At 41.9% G+C, this 14,251-nt stretch overlaps 2 protein-coding genes across 7 annotated transcripts in view, besides 1 other annotated feature; one reads left to right on the plus strand and one right to left on the minus strand.

Moving 5' to 3' along the window:
* The window catches only part of SPTLC3 (serine palmitoyltransferase long chain base subunit 3), a 160,132-nt gene that overhangs the window by 99,320 nt on the left and 46,561 nt on the right, over positions 1-14,251 (plus strand). For 5 of the 6 annotated variants that reach the window (NM_018327.4, NM_001349945.2, XM_011529279.2 and 2 more), the window contains 2 exons: positions 1,821-1,926; positions 9,215-9,434. In NM_018327.4, the coding sequence (NP_060797.2) occupies positions 1,821-1,926; positions 9,215-9,434 (326 nt within the window). The remainder of the gene's footprint in view (positions 1-1,820; positions 1,927-9,214; positions 9,435-14,251) is intronic. The other variant, XM_047440256.1, reaches the window with a different exon arrangement.
* TASP1 (taspase 1) overlaps positions 1-14,251 on the minus strand; it is a 534,161-nt gene that overhangs the window by 3,520 nt on the left and 516,390 nt on the right. The window lies entirely within an intron of this gene.
* Positions 13,953-14,002: an enhancer, noted in NCBI's record as "active region_17549". NCBI's record gives its function as "activates an Ori minimal core promoter by ATAC-STARR-seq in GM12878 lymphoblastoid cells {active_cell/tissue: GM12878}" and the evidence as "EXISTENCE:reporter gene assay evidence [ECO:0000049][PMID:35858748]".

Here is a 14,251-nt window from a genome sequence, read left to right on the forward strand (position 1 = left end):
TATTTCAAAGAACTATCTTGTGGCCTCATTGAATGTGGCAGAGTTGCAGTGTGGAAAAGTTAATGCAGCCACTAATGCATTCACTCAGCTTTGGGGGAAGCCCTAAAACAGATCTGAGCACAGACTGGAGACTCAAAGACAAAGTTGAAGGGCTCTCCATTGAGACCAAGAACTGCAGCTAATTTGAGCCTAGACCAGTGAGTGATAAGCCAATGCACATACGCTTCTTGAGAGCTTTGTCTGTAGTGGTCAAAACCAGTACTGACTATGCAGCTTTAGATTTATCTTTTTTTTTCACTTTGAGACAGAGTCTCGTTCTGTCACCCAGGCTGAAGTGCAGTGGTGTGATCTCGGCTCACTGCAACATCCGTCTCCTGGGTTCAAGCAATTCTCCTGTCTCAGCCTCCCAAGTAGCTGGGATTAGAGGTGCCTACCACCATACCCACTTAATTTTTTGTATTTTTAGTAGAGACTGGGTTTCACCATGTTGGTCCCGAACTCCTGACCTCAAAGATTTAGCTTTGCTAGATGTCACCTTTTGTGAGCATTTTAAATGGTGTTTCTAATGCCTGGTGAACATTGCATAACAGTCAAGCCAGCAGTTAAGTAGCATCTCCATCTTTTAAAATTAAGATTGGATTCTGGACCTAAGTATTTCAGTTTCATCTTCTCAAAAAAGGGAAAGCTTAGGAAATGCAAAAAATACACAGTACAAATATAATCAGTCTAAAAAATATGCCCATAAACCTCGGCCATTTTTTTCTTGCTAGGCTTAAATGTTAAAAACAAAATAATACACACACATGTACATATATACCAAACAGCTAGGTTGGTAGGCAAGTTCTTCTAAATGACCTCTCAACCCAAGCCCAGTCATCAACCTCTGATAGCAGATAAATGAATTGTCACTATTGATTATATTTGACATTAGAAGTTAACAAGATTATTCTGCCAGACATTCATCCTCCCTTGTTCTACATCACCATTTCATTTGAGAAGAAGGGACAATGGCTTTCACATAAGGCAGCAAAGGGTAGTGTTACAAATGTGGATTACAGTACAGACTACATGGGTTCAAATCCTGATTCTGTTGCTTATGATAGACCTCAGGCAGTTTACTCAACTCCTCTGTGTCTCAGTTTCCTGAACCACAGAATGGAAATGCTACTAGTACTTCCTCCAGATGGTTCTTATGAGGATTAAATGAGGTATGACAAAAACTGAGCTTAGAAGGGTGCCTGGCACACAGATAGGGCTCAATAACTGTGAGCTATTATTGTGTTCAGAGATCCCCAAATATTTTGAAAAAGAGGCTTAATTGTCCCACTGCTTTAAAGTTTTGAAACTTCTAAGACTGGGGGATGTCAGAAATCAAGGCTCAAAGTGTAGGAAGTGAGATCCGTGCAAACTCAGCTAAACTCTAACATGCTCATGTCTACACGATTGATGAGTGGTATTAATTATGTCTCTCAGAGTTCATTTCAGCCTGCAACAAAGCTTAGACCTAAGAGATGCATTTAACGTAGAATTTCAATCTCTCTAAGGCAGGCGGGGAGAGCCTTTAAGAGCCTAGGAAACCATGCCCCACTGGTGAGAGTTTACTCTGCCTACTTGTACAAATCCAACTATTTGTCTTGTCAGAGTTAAGTTCTACTGAAAAATAGACCTCTGTCTCTCTCTCCCTAAGGGTTCTCTGATTCTGAATTTGTTCTCTGAAAGTTTAGGTCTGAGTGTGAACATAAAACATCTGGAAAAAGAAAGTGGAAAAGGAAAAGTAAACCCTTTCATGACTCAATTTTTTTTTTTGGTATTATTTAAAGACACACAAAGCCTAGAGAAGCTCCTGAGAGATGCTGTCATCTATGGCCAGCCTCGAACCCGCAGAGCTTGGAAAAAGATTCTCATCCTGGTGGAGGGTGTCTACAGGTATGTAAATAACAGGACACATTTTACGACTCGGAGGCCTGCAGCAAGCTGACCAGTGCGGAAAGGCTCACCTTTCCTAGCTAAACAGAGAAATGACTTAGAATTGGTTATATGACACAGGGACCTGAGACAGAGCCACCAATGGGAGCTGTCAGACGTGGGTTATCTGTCTTTTTGATGACTCTATATATGGCACAGCAGCTTGGAGGCTGGCCGGCTTGTGAAGGCTTCCTCAGAAATATCCTCTCAAGGCATTGCTAACTTGAGTTGATCTTTCCACTACCTTTGACTGCCCCAGAGTTTCAAAGGCGTTTCGCAGCTGGGTTATTCAAGATCAAAACACTCCTTGCCTTTATGACTGGTAGAAATTGTTGATGGGTGGCCCGGATGCCCCTACCTGGACAGCACGCCCAACCCCCAGCTGCTTGCTGAACTTTGTTAGTGATTGCCATCAATACAAAAGATCTGCCTGTTTTCCCCAAGGTAGGAGTAACCTGGGGTGCAATTCTTGTTCCAGAGCCAGCGGGTAGGAATGGGCTGATGTCTAGTCCATAAGCCAAGGAGACATTATTTCAGAGTGCCCAATCCTGAATCAATTCTCAAACAATCCTGACGTTAGGCAAATTGAGGGGGATATCTCCTATAATGATAGAAAAGTGAAAAATATTAAAAGGAAGGAAGTGAAGGCTGTTCAACTTTAAGACAAGGAGGAGTGTGGCTACAAAGGAGACTTGAGGATAGACATAGGATTTCTTTCAGCCCGCTAATCTCATTAGTCCCTGAGTGCACATTTTTTCTGCTGCATGAGTGGATAATGAGCAGCAGCAGAAGTGTGCCTTTATTCCTTTTAAGAAAAAAAAAGTGAATTCTCCCAACTCTAAAATAATAATAATAAGAAGCTTGGTTTCATTTTATTTTTAACATTTTTAACTCCAGTACTTCTGCCCCCATGGTTAGGGTTCTGGATGTTCCCAGTCCTACTGTGGGAAATGCAAAGTTTGCATTTCCAGTTTCTACCAGCTCACTTTCTGCATCACCTACCATTACCTCCTCCAGCCAGCCCAGAGAGTATGTACTGTTGATGAAGTCTTTGGGAGCACTCTAGACATAGTAGTTCTCCAGGGTGAGCTTGTCCTTGCCCCAGCCTAGGCACATTTGGCGATTTTCAGTCATTATAACTGCAGTAGTGTGTGACTGGCATATGGTGGACAGAGGCCAGGGATGCTGCCAAGCATCCTACGATGCATGGGACAGCCCCTACAACACAGAGTTATCTAGCTCAAAATGTCGATAGTGCTAAGGCTGAGAAAACCTGTTCTGGTATAACTGACAACTCGTAGGCCTTAACTTGCAATTTTAAGAAATAATCTCATATTGACTCTGGGCTGTCATAACCTCAAGCATGGATCTTTTTCCCTGTGTGATTTGTGCCTGCTGCCAGCCTGGGAGGGGAGCAAATAGCCCTTATCTAAACACCTGTCATTCAGGCCTAGATTCGTGGGAACACAGATCAGCTGAGAGAGAGCAGACTGGGCATCTCCTTTAAGCAGAGTAAACAAAACCCAACTGCAAATAAATAGAACTTGGCTCCAGTAAATGAAAGTTAGGTCTTAACCATTTTGATCATGGCTGAAATTAAGTAGACAACTGGCATTTTACTGGCAAATATTCCCATCAGCTACACAGAGAAACAACTCCAGCAGCAGGGCTTCTTAGTGGCCATGCCAGGCGCCTGCATCCCACCACTTCAGAAGGACAAGGGACCCAGGTGTGGACTTCCAGCTCCAAGCCAGAGTGGTACCAAACCACAATTTTGGTTGCACTAGCAATAGTGACTGCTCAGTTACCTATTGCCATGTAACAAACCACCCAAAGCATAATGGCTTACACAGCAATGATTTATTATTTCCCACGCTACCGTGGGTTGTGTGGACCAACTGGGCAGTTCTTCTACTCCACATGGCATTGGTTGGAGGCCTCTCATGGAGGCCACTTCATTCAGCTGACACTTTGTCTGGGGCTGGAACATCCAAAATTACCCCACTTGCACATCTGGCCCTCGGTACTGGCTCTCACCTGGAGTGCCATGCTCTCTTCCACACAGCTTTCTCTATAGATAGTCTCTTCTCATTCTGTAGTCTAGCCAGAACTCCCTTACAACGTGGTGCTGGCTTCCAACAGAGCAAAAGCAAAGGCTGCCGGCACTGAGACATTATCACTTCTGCCCTGACCCATTGGCTCAAGTACATCATGAGGCCAGCCCCGATTCAAAAGAAGGTGAAATAGACCCTACCCCCTGATGGAGGATCCACTTGTATGTATAAGGATGGGAAGCTTTGCAGGCAGCCATCTTTGGAAGCCATCCACCACAGTGGCTCAATCAACCTGGTGATGACACAGAGTGAAGTCCCCACTTTCCAAGAATTTTCCTTCACAAGAAAGTTCCTTTCATTTCACCCACACAGGAATGTTGACTTTAAATGAGACCAAGACCTAAAAGGCCACATTCACAGATAGGTAACAGGGCATCTCTTTGACAAGCCTCAATCGCTCTTGGGGGCTTCAATTTCCTCATCTGTAAAATAAAGATAGCCTAGAGTTGAGTTCTACAGCCTTAAACCTCAAAGGAAAAGCCTTTATACAGGTGTTCTAATTTGCAACTATCACCAGATATTTCCCATAAGGCCAGGTGCAGTGGCTCATGCCTGTAATCCTATCACTTCGGGAGACCAAGGCAGGTGGATTACTTGAGGTTAGGAGTTCGAGACCAGCCTAGCCAACAGGGTGAAACCCCACCTCTACTAAAAAGACAAAAATTAGCCAGGTGTGGTGGTGCACTCCCATAATCCCAGTTACTGAGGAGGCTAAGGCACAAGAATCACTTGAACCTGGGAGGCAGAGGTTGCAGTGAGCCAAGATCATGCCACTGCACTCCAGCCTGGGAGACAGAGAGAGACTCTGTCTCAACAACAACAACAACAAAAAATTATTTCCCGTAGGATTTTCCAAAGGAGGGTTAGGAATGTGAAGTCAATAGTTCACAAATGCACTCCTACTTTTCGGAGGTATATTAGGAATGCATATCTTGTTGGTACCTACACAAAGCCTCCTTTGAATTTTAACTTCCAGATTTTTTCTCTTGCTTATGGTCTGCCACCATGGGTAAAGCACCCCCACATACATCAGCACAGAGCCCACATACATCAATTTTTTCATAACCCCCAAAGAGAGCAGTCAGCCAAATCAGAAAGTTTCAGGGAGATATCAAGATAGAAAAGGCTAGATACCCAGTCTGAGAAGTCAGACAACTCCACAAAACTAATAATAATAATGTCACCATTCATAGGTATTATTATTCATATGTAGAATATAGAGGAGTCAGGATTTGGAGGCAGGCCTGGGACCTAGGTTCAAATCCTGGCATCACCACCTACATCTGTGTGGCCTCCATAGGGTACTTTGGTAATAATAAATATTCAATGAGGTCATATAAGCTAGTGTTGGCAGAGGCCCAGCCCATAGAAAGCTCACAACCAAGAGTGGCTGTCTTTATTGTCACATTGATTTTCAGTCTAAGAAGTTGCAACTCAGAAAACAATAAGTCATCTATGTTGCAAGGCTGTTTGCTCTTCTTCCATCCAGAAAGTGGCTGTTAGAGAAAGAAACTCACACTGACCATGTGTCTACTCCTTGCTAAACATTTCCCATGTGCAGCCTTGAGTAAGCCTCCAAGTATTCCTGAAGTTATTGTGAATATGAAGAAATTGAGGCTCCGAGGCTTAGATTACTTGCCCCAGGACAGATAACCGAGATGAGGCAGAGCGGGGATTAAAACCAGGTGGCCCTGATGGGACAAAGGCTCAATGTAAATAGAAGAGTCAGCCCATGTGTCCACATCCAATGAAGTAAACATGGAAAATGCAAGATCACCCATTTGACCTTTACCATTAACCTATCTAGGCCTCAGTTTCTTCATCTGTAACACAGGGGCATTGAAACGTAAAACCCAAAGTTTCATGAATGCATGATTTGGGGTTTAAAACTAAAATAGTATTATTTCAGTGTTCTGAACTGTATGTTTTCATTAAGTATCATTTTAAAATCACATTTTCTAATTTCATGTCTCTGAGAAGTCTAGATCCCTTATCAACTCATAGTGGTTGAGAATCTCAAAATTATTCAAAAATATCCTTGAGGTGTGGTGTCCCAAATAACCTGGGACATAAACTAGCATAGCTGGAGCACTAACTTTCAAAATAAAATTAATCAAGGAATAATAGTCAGCTCTTCTAAAACAAATACATATATAAACATATGCACATATGCTGTAGCCTCAGAATACCATTTACTCTAAGAATGTAAGCTATTCTCCTATGCTCAAAATAATGTAAATTTAAGGATTGAGAACTTCAGTGGTAAACTGTCACCTGTATCTCTATGGTTTAAACAAATAAAGAAAAGAATAAGAAAACATTTGTTACTTTACTTTTAATTGACCTTAACTTTCTTTTTCTCTCTTTCCACCTTGCTTTCTTGTTTTGAGTTACACTTTGGGCCCACCAAGGAGATTTTTCCACCATGTGAGTTAGCTAGCCGGTGGTTTAATTCTCCATCTGCCAGTGGCTAATATGGTTTATATGTGGAGGGAAAAGTGGTGAGAGGGAGATTTCAAAAAGGAGGCTTTTCACTTAGCTAAGACATTATGTAATAGAAAAGATATAAAGGAATTATTCACTGGCTTGCTGGTTTAAGAATAATTCAAGTCCCTGCACAGAGCTTCAAATTAACTCGTGGAATTATCTTTACCTACAGTCGTGTTTTAGTTGTTTTTCTTCTATTGAAGTCAAAAGAAAAACACAACCTTCCATTCAGGAAGAAAGAATAAATTGCTGTTCTTGTTTTCTGTATCATTTTTGGCACTGTTTTTTGACAGCAATTCATGGGAATAACATAGATAGCCTTTTTATGCATGCGCTAGACTCAATATCCCACTGTGGGAAAAGGCTCAATTCAAATTTGATCACATTGTGAAAATGAAAACTTAGTGTGGGTGAATATAACTCTATAAAAGCTGAGTTCTCCCTAGGACTCTGTGTGTGCCCTGCATTAACTCCAAAAGTCAGCAGTATTGTAGAGTCATTAATCTTAGAGGAAGAAATATAAACCAGGTGGGCAGGCTCCTAACATCAGCTAGACCAGCCCCATGGAAGGATGGTTAATTAGCTGCCCGCAGTGTCTACAAACACTGTGGGCCATTAACTTTGGCTTCTGTCAAATTCAGTTCCAGAACAAAAAAATGGCTATTTGTGGCATGTCAGGTTTTTTGGCATATTTGTGTTACCAACTTATAACATTTTAAAGAGAAGAAAATTCTAGATTTCTGAGGACCTGCAGCCATTTATTATGTATGACATCCAGCATGACACCCACATGCCTCGCTCCTATAAGATTCAACACAGAACATTGTCAAGGGCTCCCACTTTCCCAAGTTAGGACTCGTTGCAACCATTTCCTCCTAAGCTCCTCCTCCTGAGGGCCGTAACGATTCACTAAATGCCCATCATGGATCAGGTAGTTTACAAGCATGATTTCAAGTGATTGTTATAAAGACCCTGTGAAGAGGGGCCCATCATCCTGTTTGTATTGCATATGAGGAAACTGAAGCAGAGAACATCACGCAAATTGCCCAAGCTCACAGTTAGTAAGCTTAGGCAGCCAGATGGCCAGACTGTCTTCCCCTCAATGGAAACAATTTTAACAAGCAATTAATTTAAGAACATGTTGGAATTAACTCACAAACTTACATAAGAAAAGACAACTGTATTTGGCCTTTATTTCATTAAAATCTGAACTCGGCCATCCAAAACTACCTCGTGGAACACACAAATGCTGCACCCAGTGATCATGATACTCTCTCCAAACCAACACCCGTTGGTCTGGGTGACTGTGCACACAGCCAGCTGGACTGTTTTGACTGAATCGACCTAACACTTAAGCTTATTTTTTAATACATTAAATTTAATCTAATAAATAATTAGGGGAAAAAGGAGACGTTCAACTCTGTTTGATTCAATGAATTAGCTCTTGAACTAACCTAAACGGTTGTTTGAATTGTTTGACAAGTTCCTTTGTGTGGTGAGTGTGTCTGTGTGTTTTCGTACAACTTGCCTGTCAATGCAGTCAAAACTGTGTGCAACATAGACACAGCTTGCAAAGTGTTCTGAGAACTGATTACTGTCAGATTTTTTTAATCCATTGAGTCCCAGAGGTGCCATGTAAATAGAAATTTTAATTTTATTTATTCATAGACTACATTTTTTTCCCTTTGTGCCGGAGGATGTACCAAAGCTTCCCAGGAGGATCTTTGTTAATTTAGAGCATTTCTGTCTCTGCCCTAGCATGGAAGGTTCTATCGTGTATCTGTCCCAGATCACAGGACTTGAAGTGCTTTTGCAACTTACAATATCATGAAAAATAAAACAGTTAGGGCTAAAACAAAAGAGTTCATCTACAGCAGTGGCCCTCTATATGTGGTCCGCAACCATTGGTGGCAGCATCTCCTGGGAGCTTGGCAAAAATGCACGTTCTCAGCCCACCCAATACCGACTGAATCAGAAACTCTGGGGTAGGAGTCTAGCAATCTGTGTTTTAACAAATCCTTCAGAGGATTCTGATGTTCACTCAACTTTCTGTTCCTCTGCCCTAAAGGAACAGAAAGAGGAGACACCTCGGTCTTTGACTTGAAGTGGGTATTGAACAAGAGGTCTCAAAGACTTCCTATTTTACTTTAATTAACACTATGATGTCTTAAATAAAGTTCTGTGTCTTTTTAATTCCCTCTTTTAATCTATGGCAATTCAAGCACCAAATTTAAGTCAAACAGACCTGGCCAAAAAGGCAATGCCAGGCTGATAAAGGGAATGACTATAGGGTAATTTAATCAATTCTAGCAGAATATCTAGAATCCAGAATGGTCAGTCTAGTTACACCAGTTGGCTTTACAAATAAATTGGATCAATAATGCAGTGAGCTGATTGTTTGCTTGAGAATTAGCTGAAACCAAAAGCACTTAAATCCATTGAATGTAAATTATTTTATCCAAGTAGCATAGAAATGCCCAAGTGGCCTTACAAGATTGAAAGGGTTGTCTCAGCCAAATAAAACATGCCTTCAGAACAAAGGAATGGCGTGTGTCAGGGAAGACTGTCTAGGATGTATTGATGGGGAAACTGACAGAGCTTCCCAGGAGGGTATTTGTTAGTTATGAGCATTTCTCCTTCTGCCCTAGCATGGAAGGTTCCATCGTGCATCTGCCCCAGATCATAGCTCTAAAGAAGAAATACAAGGCTTACCTCTACATAGATGAAGCTCACAGTATTGGGGCCGTGGGCCCAACCGGCCGGGGTGTCACGGAGTTCTTTGGACTAGACCCTCATGAAGTTGATGTGCTCATGGGCACATTCACCAAAAGTTTTGGAGCTTCAGGAGGTTACATAGCTGGAAGGAAGGTAAGAGAGGGCCTGCTTGTGTCTGTTTAAAACCTGAGCGCCCTGGGGATGCCGTGTGTAGGGCTTCTCTGAATTTCATGAAAGCTTCAATTCAGTTCACCACACCTCAGCTGATCACTCCAGCCTGGCTACAGTGGGTTCACAGCCAGATAAGGCCCAGAATATCGAGGAGCTCTCCCTCGAATAGTGAAGAGGAGCATGTGATGAGTGATCACACTATAATGAAATGGCAACACTGGCCGTGTACATAAGATGCAAAGTACCAGGCAGAGGAATAATTAACTCTGTTAAGTAGTATCTAGGACATGGTTTAGAATGAATATCCATCTGGTAGACAAATAATGGGGGGCCATATTTAACACACAGAGAGAATAATGTATACCAAGCCAGAAGTGATAAGGGATGTTCTGAAAACTATAAGCATTAAAAAACACAAAGAAGATAATAGCAACAGTAGGCAATGTTAGTTATTAGGGAGGCTGACCCTATGCTACAAGTTGTGGGTTTTAAGAGTTTTAATCAAAACGGTGGCAGGAATGTACTTTTAAGAAATATTCTCTGCAAAAAAAATTCTTTCCATAATGTTGCATACACCATAGGTCAAATCCTGCCATTCTCCAATATCTTATCAATATGCCTTAAAAATTCTGATCTGCTGGGATTAGACTGTTAAGTGAGTGTTGGCCCTGTCATTCTAGTGCCAATATCACCAAGAGGTTTGTGGAAAAAAAAAACAAAAAAAAACAATAAATATTTGAGAGAAATTTAAAAGGAGGGAAAGGAAAGGGACAAAGAAAATCCAATATTCAAACCTGGGTTTGAGAGATAAAGGAGCCAGTTATCTGAACAATGAGAGGATAGCCTTGTCCAAATTCTGACACCTATCTCAGACAAACCTACACCTGTCCCAAAGAGCAGATGTGACAGTGATGTTGGCTCAGCCTAGGATGCCACACCAGGCCCAAAACCAGTGCATGCAAGTGGTATCAACAAAAATCCCCACTTTCTTACCTATTGTGATGAACAGGAACAAGAGTTCAGACTTCTGGTAAACCAGTTAGACAAACCAAGAAGTGCAGCAGAAAACAGTCCTCTCATTGAAAGCTCATGATTTAAAACAACAGATTTAATTCTGGCCACTGGCCCTGCCATGAAATGCACAGATGCTTAAAATGTTCAGAGTTTTAAGTGGCCTTTACCCTTCAATAAGCACTGCTTTCTTTCGGGCTCAAAGCATTGTTTTTCATCCCCTCTTCACTGGCCTGTGGGAATCAGCTGGGTAATGCTAAAACCATTGGGAAAGCCCAGGATCTTACAAAATTCAGCTAAATCTGGTGAAAGGTTAAATGTTCCCTTCCTAGACTGTCGAAGCAGTAGGAGCAGAGGGTCTCAAATTTAGGAGCTCCCTGATCCTGGCTACATTGCTCTGTGAGCTTGTGGTTTTGTGATTACTTTAGCAGCAGTTCTGAACTACAAAATTTTTAACGAAGCATAACTCTACTTCCTGAACCAAAGGCACCTGAATAAACCGAAGCAAGCCAATTCTTGAAATGTTGTCAAATTTGGTGGATGTCACATTTTTCCCCCTAGAGTAGCTTCATTTGATACCCACTTTAAACAAAGGCTCGCGACTAGCAGAAGTAAACACCAGTTCACCATGATTCTCTCTCATGCTCTCCATTCTGATGTCAGCTAGAGTATTTTTAAGATGTAGGCGTTCTTGTCCACACAATTTCTATTCATTTGGCATAGATACTGAGCAATTGTGAAAATTACCATTATTTACATTAATCGGGATGCAGAAAAAGTATGTACATCTGTTCATTTTCTTATCTCTTAAAATGCTCATTTTATGCATATTTGGATACAGAGGGTCGCATTGTTCATTCCCTCTCCTCTCCCTCCTTTTTCCTCCCCACCTTTCTCTGTCTTCTCTTCCCTTCATGTTACACTGCAGTGTCTAAATTTACCACTAGATGGCAGCAAGAATTAGAGCGTGTCTGGCAGAGATTCGTTAGCCTACGCTGAGATCTGCCCTAAAACAGCAAGATGCAAAACCTTGAAAACATAGGGGCTGTTTCCAAGACCTGGGCGGTGAGCAGGAGGGCATTTGAGAAAATGCCTGTATCCCTGATGACTTAAAAATCAGTCAGATACACACCTGTGTGGAATGATTTTGGTCAGACTGTGATAAACCTGGGTAAACTGGCTTCCTTTCGGCTTAATGAGCCCATGATTTGATGGAACTTATGTATCCGTTCCTTTGTACCTTTAATTCTTTTTAATTATGTTAAGTTTCATTATGTATAATTTCAAGTCAAACATATATTTTATTCCTATGAACTTCAGATAATTTTGTGAAGAATTTTTACTTTGAGTCTGTTTAAATTAGGATTCGGCAAATACTAAAGATTTTTGTTTGAAAAAACTACTTCTACTAGTATGTTTAAATAATTAAGAGTAGAGTTTTCAAACTCTGATAACTGTACTGTAAGACAGATAGATAGGTAGATAGATAGTTGATAGACAGATGAATAATCTCCCAGATACTTCCCGTATATCTCAAATTCGGGGATTATTGCAAAATAGCTAGGATTCCAAACCAATGTATACAAAAGCAACAAAATTGAACATAAAAAAAGTTAAAGTACACACATTCAGACTTGCTGTTTTTCTGAAACTGTGTATAATTTCAATTTCACTGTTCTCATAGGGTTCTCAGTAAACCCTGAAATTTGAAAATAATCAGTTAGCTCCAAAAATCTAGAAAAAAGAGATAAAAACATCTGGCTCTTAACTCTCTTTTTAAGTGATGTTAATATTGGTATAGAGGGGCTGCATTCCCAGTAACAGTGTCTAGGAGGTTCTGGAAATCTTTATGGAATGGGTCAAGGTCAGAGTTTTATATATTAGCAACCAGATGAGACATGTAATGAAACACATTTGAAAACAAGGAGAAAAAAATGGTTTAGTATGACGATACTACTAGAGGAAACAGAGGTTTTGTTTTTATCTCAGAGCCTTTTCCTCACAAAGTGTCCTACAAATTCCCCTCTGCTAATTGGAAGTTGCTGCCAGGCTGTGATCCCCACTTTCCACCTCAAGGAAACTGCTAACAGTCTGTCCAGAGCCAGCAGAGTTTTGCTGTTTTGCTCACTTTGGGTTTGGAGCCGCTATAGATGCACAGTGAACAGCCTAACATGGAGGAGTCTGTCCTTTCAAGACCTTCCTGATGAAATTCCAGATCACTACTTCTCTCCACCTGTCAGAGCTCCGTGCCATGAATGGCTTCTTTGAAGGAAAGCCTAAGCTGATGGGACTAGGTTTCTTATTTTTATTCTTTCACATTTGTATTGATCCTGTTGCTGGGAAATGTGGTCAATGCCGAAGACCCCAAACTTTTCCCCAGGCAAGGATCTTGAGTCCACCTGCATGCCTGGTGCCGAACACTGGCTCCCACAGCCTCCACAGGCTGACCAGAGACTTGCAAATGAATGAAGCGATGGTAGCCCTTGTAACTGATAGGTTGCAGGGCTGGAATTCTGGAGAAGGGAACTGGGACAGGGCAGACAAATTTGGGGTGAGCATTAGCCCCAGAAGCCTGCATGCCAGCCAAAGCCAGGTCACTCTAAAAAGTGAGCTCTGCCCTGCACACTAGGCCCTGGCTGTATTTAACATCCCTTTGAAGTAAGCAGGGGTCAGGGAGTGAGCTCTAAGATGTTTATTCTAAGAGTCTCCTGTCTGATTTCCTCCCAAAAGGCCACCCTTGCCCTTGAACTTCAGGCCTGTGTGTAGAGAAAACAATCAGGGTTTTGAACTTCCAAATGGACGTGGAAACCTCGATACGAGGAGACCTCTAACCCACCCTGAAGAAGACACGACCCAGACTCGCCTTGCAAAAGACCAAAGCCACCTCTTAACTCATGGCTCATAGCACCCAATGGGGGAACGAGAGGGGGAATTAGTAGCCAGGAATCAAGGCTCTCCCTGACACTCTCCAGAAGTTACTCAAAGAGCTCCATTTTTTGAAACACACAAGCAAATAAACTTCCATCCAGAAACTCAGACCCTGAGAGAAAGCAAACTCAGTCCAAAAAAAATAAAATTTTGGGCAAGATAGTCTTAACATTAAAAAGAACCAGTGCTGCACCGATGAGGTATTTATTCAAACTAAGAAGGCTCATGACCTTGACTTTAAAAAATGTCTCAATCTGTGAATTAGGGTTGGGGACATTGGGAAGAGCCCTTTTCAAGATCAAAGGAAGTTTTGTTTTACTTCCTTGTCTGATCTTTGTCAGTGATGGTCCCCAAGCTAAGAGACAATTGCTACACTTGTCCCTGAGAATGCAGTTGAGTAATACCCTATATGCTTTGAGGCCCCTGGCCACCTTTCCTCCATCTCTAAAACCCGTCTGTTTTCCATTAGACGGTCAATATTTAGCAGGCCACCACTAGGTATCCACCACTATGGATTTTAAAAGAAGTGTAAAGCTCCATCCCTGCTCTCAAGGAAGTTTCAGTCCCTTTTGGAGAAACAAGAGAGATAGACATGAAACATTTGGAGACCAATGTGACTCAATCTGTGATTTAGTACCATATAGATGAGTAGATCAGGAACTCCCCACCTGCTCCAAAAAGAGGAACAGTCTCTGGGTTAGGGAAAGTACCGCAGGGTAAGGAGAGTGGAATTGGGGTCTGTGTTCTCCTGGACCCCCTCACACCACACCAAGCTTACTCTTCTGGGGAGAAGTCTGGAGAAGTCGAGTGTGGCCTAAGGGTGGGGCTCCAGAGCCAGCTTCTTTAGGTCCAAATCCTTG

Source organism: Homo sapiens, chromosome 20, assembly GCF_000001405.40.
Source record: "Homo sapiens chromosome 20, GRCh38.p14 Primary Assembly".
Lineage (NCBI taxonomy): Eukaryota > Metazoa > Chordata > Mammalia > Primates > Hominidae > Homo > Homo sapiens.